Source organism: Homo sapiens, chromosome 4 (genome assembly GCF_000001405.40).
Source record: "Homo sapiens chromosome 4, GRCh38.p14 Primary Assembly".
NCBI classification, from domain to species: domain Eukaryota; kingdom Metazoa; phylum Chordata; class Mammalia; order Primates; family Hominidae; genus Homo; species Homo sapiens.
Window position 1 is genome coordinate 121,234,206 of NC_000004.12, and position 6,254 is coordinate 121,240,459.

General features: G+C 44.8%; 1 annotated feature.

Annotated features, from left to right (window-relative positions):
* Window positions 3,809-4,308: an enhancer, noted in NCBI's record as "H3K4me1 hESC enhancer chr4:122159169-122159668 (GRCh37/hg19 assembly coordinates)". NCBI's record gives its function as "activates a minimal SCP1, AML or CMV promoter by ChIP-STARR-seq in naive H9 embryonic stem cells {active_cell/tissue: H9 hESC(naive)}" and the evidence as "EXISTENCE:reporter gene assay evidence [ECO:0000049][PMID:30033119]".

Below are 6,254 nucleotides of genomic sequence, written 5' to 3' on the forward strand. Positions count from 1 at the left end.
TAACATGAAAGAGAGTATTTGTTTCTCTGGAAAACATCGTCTCAAGTTACAAGCCAAGCTGCCTCTAGATGTCCCTTTTCAACTCATTCGAAAAAAATACAGGGCTATGTCCAAACCTCAATGTTGAAAGCATTTAGGAGGTAATCTTTCTTTTTTTTCTTTTACATTTTAAATTGATGCATAATATATAGAAATAGTACATATACATTTGCATTTGATGAGTTTTCAAAAACTAAATACACCAGCGTAACCAGCACCCACATCAAGAAGCAGAATGTTATCAAGGAGATAGTGTTTTCATTACCTATCCATGGCAGAGTTTGTGAATACCAGGGATAAGTGGCCCTCCCATTTGTGACTCATCCCATCCTGATGAAGACAAATTAGTGAATGGGGTCTCCAAACTGAGATCCAGTCTGATCGGAGGGTATGGAGTCAGAGAATAAAGTTATAGGTGAGGTGTTTGCTGACTGCAATTGGAGAACTTGCTTATTTCTAGCCCCAGGTTCTTGTTTGTTGGGTCTGACTTCAGAAGCTATGGCAAACTTACATTTTTTCCAGCTCTCGGAGTCCACATTTTCTTGAATTGGATCTCCTTCATTGTCCTGCCCTTGAAGGGCCACTGGAAACATCTTTTCGTATTTCATCCTAGTGTGGGAGTATCAAGATTTTTCAGCCATTCTTGGCTATAAGTGTATTTCACTTGGACTTGGCCTATTTCTCTTTGTTCAAGCATCTTTTTGTCACTTCTCCCACCTGATCTATGTGATTGCCTTCCAAATGGAACAGGAAACCATGTGAATCTCAGTCACTGTCTACTCTAGACCACTTGTTCTTGGGCAGTGAGGCCCCTGTATATGATTTGTATGTGTCTGAGACCATGAGCCACCCCAGAGTTGAGGTGTGGAATCTCATATATGGCTGTTGATTTTTTTCAAACTCTGAGGCTTCCGTGCTGTCTGTGTCACTAGTGTATTCTAACAAAACTCAGAATTGTTCCTCAGGATCTTAGAGAAGTGCTTTCTATGAATTTCTCTAGTTTATGTTAAAAATAATTTATGCACATGGTTCAAAAGCCTGCTTGATTATAAGTCATACAGTAATAGCTACCTCCATATGGAATCTGGTTTATATCAGTGAAGCAGAGCAGTAAGTCTCTGATAATCAAAACAAACATAAGGCTGGACATGGTGGCTTATGCCTGTATTCCCAGCACTTTGGGAGGCCAAGGCAGGTGGATCATCTGAGGTCAGGAATTCAAGACCAGCCTGTCCAATGTGGTGAAACTCCGTCTCTACTAAAAATACAAAAATTAGCTGGGTGTGGTGGCAGGCGCCTGTAATCCCAGCTACTCAGGGGGCTGAGGCAGGAGAATTGCTTGAACTTGGGAGGTAGAGGTTGCAGTGACCTGAGACTGTGGCACTGCACTTCAGCCTGGGCAACAGAGCAAGACTCTGTCCCAAAATAATAATAATAATAACCTAAACACTTGTTGTTTCCTAAGAAATTTAGTGCTTCATGGAGTTGGGTAAAAGGTAATGGCAGATTTACCGCTTCATAAGATAGATAATGAGTTTTCCTTAAATTATTGAAGCAACTCAATATTGTGTAAGTTTGGTTCTCTACCTGAAATAGCCAGTTTTAAACCATGCATTCTTCCCAAAATTGCAATTCAGATTTCAATGAAATTTCATTAATATTTCATTGGTGACTAGCAGAGTTCTAAAAAAAAACAAAGAGAGAGAGAGAGAGTAAATGGGAATAGATCTCTTGAGGCATAGGCTCAGAAATGGTACAACTATGCTTCCTGCATATTTTATTGGCCAAAGCAAGTTACAAGGGCATTCCAGATTCAAGGCCTGGAAAAATAGATTCCACCTCTTAATAAAAGAAGCAATGTGACTTTTTATTGTCTTCCACCAAGAGGAGAGACATATTATCAGGTGCCTCCCATGCCCTACTCACTCTCCTCCTTGTTAAAGCCAGCCAAGCCCCAGAAGTGTGATTGCCTGGCCTCACCAGCCTCTGTGAGAATTAAGAGCTAAATAATTGGTTGTTATATTATATCACTAAGTTTTAGAGTGATTTGCTATACAGCAAAAACTAATAGACTGCCTTATCAGGTACTAAAATATGTACAACTATTAAACATTACAATTTAATTCTAGTTTTACTTTTGTCTTTTGGAAAACTTTGAAGGATATCCAATTCACAGCCCACAGGCCCACTTCCAAGAAAAGAAACAAATAATGCAAATGATTACCTATTATCTTTTGCTCTGACATCTCTCAAGCAAGTCTGGAGACCTTCTTTCCTCATTCTGAAACCACATCTCAAACTTCTGCCTAGCACGCTCTCCGCCCAGGCTCCTCAATTCCCGTCTCTGACAGAGCCATGCTTTGCTGCCTCTCTGAGGGAGTGACTCTGGGGACCTGTCCCTGCCTATTTGGGGGTAGCCTGAAGATCCAGCAGCTGCACGTCCTCTGGTCCTTTGCTCATAAAGACAGCTGTGGCCAGTGCTCCTTGGAAAGCTGGGCTCTGTTCTCACTTTGATTGCTTTTCTTATGGGAAAAACTCCTAAAGCTCTTTCAGAAAAAGATATCCACCTTGCACCTAAGCAAAACCTTCTGGGGTTGATAAGTGAAAATAAAAGAGCCTCAGAGTTGTGAATGATTCACACATTCATGTAGAGTTCTGTATACGCCTTTTGGATAAATGGCCAAAGTCATCCCCAATGGATGTACCCGAACTAAGAGTTCAAATGGGGAAAAAACAAAGTGAGGTGAGGCTTAGTGCAAACAAAGTTTAGAATTAGAAGATAACTTTTTATAACTTCCTCAAGTTAGCAAGTAGTTTCAGAACAAGCAGAAATTGGAAAGCAACTGTTGTTATAGTAGTTATTAAAGCCTTAATGGGAAATGTCTCAGTGCAAGTTGAGCTTCAGCTGGCAGAACTGCTAGACTATGGGCAGCAGAGTGCTCTGCGGGAGGCCAGGATGTCTGACTTGCCAGAGAGTACAGAAAACCCAGTCAAAACATTGAACCAGGATATTAAGTTACCGGAGAAACTCAAAACACAGAACCAAGGGGCAGACAGGCCAGAGTAGTCAGACAGTAGGACATGCTAGATCAGGATCAGAGATCACATGGTGGAATCAACCATTAGCATCAGTAGTCAGAACAACTACTGTATCCCAGGACCCTTTGAGATGAGACTAAAATTTCCTACCTGTTCTTGCCCTTCCTATAAGGGGTCTGTGTCATCCTATAAATGGAAAGTTCATCTAGACAATATTTCCTGCTTCATGCTTCAGAAAATCCCGGGATGGGCAGTGAGGTGAGACTTAGGATCATTGCCTATGAGCAGCAAAGGGTGGAAAAGATCAAAGGGTTGTGAGGGTATCCAATTCCCAGGACCTTTCTTTGGGTCCACATCTGCACAATCATAGAACAGTAATATTGGAGATCAAAGGTCTTGGCTTGAGCTGAAACTACTTCCTGACTTTTTGCTGTGATAGTTAGAGGTAGACAGTTAAACTAGGTTGGCCAAAAAGAAGAGGAATCAAGGTAAACATCAATGTGGCAGTTACTCCCAATAAAGCAGATTTGAAAGTATTTCGAAAGGTTCAATAAAATAATTGTGTGGTTATTGGAGATTGTAGAAAAGATATTGTGGGTTAAAAATTACAATCTCCCTCTCCCTCTCCCGCTTCCTCTCCCTCTCCCGCTCCCGCTCCCGCTCCCTCTCCAGCTCCCCCTCCCGCTCCCTCTCCACCTCCCGCTCCCGCTCCCCCTCCCTCTCCCGATTTCCACAGTCTCCCTCTGTTGCCAAGGCTGGACTGTACTGCCGTGATCTCGGCTGGCTGCAACCTCCCTGCCTGATTCTCCTGCCTCAGCCTGCCGAGTGCCTGGGATTGCAGGCGTGCGCCGCCACGCCTGACTGGTTTTTGTATTTTTGGTGGAGAGGGGGTTTCGCCCTGTTGGCCAGGCTGGTCTCCAGCTACTGACCTCCAGTGATCTGCCCGCCTCGGCCTCCCGAGGTGCCGGGATTGCAGACGGAGTCTTGCTCACTCAGTGCTCAATGTTGCCCAGGCTGGAGTGCAGTGGCGTGATCTCGGCTGGCTACAGCCTCCACCTCCCAGCAGCCTGCCTTGGCCTCCCAAAGTGCTGAGATCTCGCAGCCTCTGCCTGGCCGCCACCCCGTCTAGGAAGTGAGGAGCGTCTCTGCCTGGCCGCCCATTGTCTGGGATGTGAGGAGCCCCTCCGCCCGGCTGCCTCATCTGGGATGTGAGGAGCGCCTCTGCCCGGCAGCCCCGTCTGGGAGGTGAGGAGCAGCTCTACCCGGCCACCACCCCGCCTGGGAAGTGAGGAGCGCCTCTGCCCGGCCAACACCCCGTCTGGGATGTGAGGAGCGTCTCTGCCCAGCTGCCCCGACTGGGAAGAGAGGAGTGCCTCTGCCCGGCCACCCCGCCTGGGAGGTGAGGAGTGCCTCTGCCCGGCAGCCACCCCATCTGGGAAGTGGGGAGCCCCTCTGCCCGGCCGCCCCGTATGGAAAGTGAGAAGTGCCTTTGCCCGACCGCGACCCGGTCTGGGAACTGAGGAGTGCCTCGGCCCGGCAGCCGCCACGTCTGGGAGGTGTACCCAACAGCTCATTGAGAACGGGCCATGATGATGATGGCGGTTTTGTCAAATAGAAAAGGGGGAGATGTGGGGAAAAGAAAGAGAGATCAGATTGTTACTGTGTCTGTGTAGAAAGAAGTAGACATAGGAGACTCCATTTTGTTCTGTACTAAGAAAAATTCTTCTGCCTTGGGATGCTGTTAATCTATAACCTTACCCCCAACCCCGTGCTCTCTGAAACATGTGCTGTGTCAACTCAGGGTTAAATGGATTAAGGGCGGTGCAAGATGTGCTTTGTTAAACAGATGCTTGAAGGCAGCATGCTCCTTAAGAGTCATCACCACTCCCTAATCTCAAGTACCCAGGGACACAAACACTGCGGAAGGCGGCAGGGTCCTCTGCCTAGGAAAACCAGAGACCTTTGTTTGCGTGTTTATCTGCTGACCTTCTCTCCATTATTGTCCTATGACCCTGCCAAATCCCCCTCTCCGAGAAACACCCAAGAATGATCAATAAATACTAAAAAAAAAAAATTACAATCAATCTCTCACCTGGAGAATTCCCTCAGTGATTATGAGTTCATCCAGTTGCCATCTGTTGGAAATCTTGACCAGTGAAAGGATAGCTTGAAATCACACACAAAGTGTGACTGAACAAAAGTGCTAGGTCAGAGTCTGGAAAGTTAAGTAAAAGATAACTCCCTGAGGAAGGTGGTTCTGAGTAGAGCAGATTCTAGAATTATCATATGAGTACTGTTCTTTAGAAAGGAGGATGGCTTGCCTGTCCATGAGGCTTGTATGTACAATTCTGGAAGTTCTGTGGTCAAAAGGAGCCTTCTGGCTATTGACCTGAGAATTTAGGATTATGAAGTCAGGTTTAGTTATACTTAGAGGGTAGAACTAAAATATGTTGTTCAGGAATATATGTACATCTTTAATAATCATGTTTTTATCACAACTGAGGAAGAAGTGTATTATCTTAGTTCTGTATAAATTACCTTGAAGATAGTAGCATGTTGTTGGAACACAGAAATTTCTGCAATAAAATCTCAAAAAGGCATTTTACTTTCTCAGCTCAGATTTTGACCTGAATATACAAACTTGTAAGAATTGTTGTCACTCTATTTGCTGATAAGAGCATGTAGAATCTTGAAGGTGAAGGTAAAATGACTTGAAGATGAGACTGTTGCCCCAAATAATTAGAGAGAGCAGATAAAATAAAATAAGTGGCCATCAAAATAGCTATATTTTAGAGAAATTGTGAAATCTACATGACACTACAAAGAATTGTACCATCTGCAGTTAATTATGTCAAGCAGATACAGCTATAAATTGTTATCCACGTTTTTGAAGAGAACTTGTGTTCTTGCTTGTCTCACTGATGAATAATTTGCCTTGACCTTATTGCTTGACTTGTGGCTGCCCACCAGTTACACACCCATTGCTTCTTCTGATTTCTGGCCTCTCCAGTGGTGAGCTTCCTCTCTGGGGCTCACACGCCTTTCTTGGCCTTGGCCTTGGATCTCCAGGTTCTAGCTTTTGGTGCTAATGTCTCCACATCACATTCCACACCTCTGCAAACAGCACGGTGACTTATGGCTTATGGAGAACCACCTTCACGTCCAAGCCATCAAAT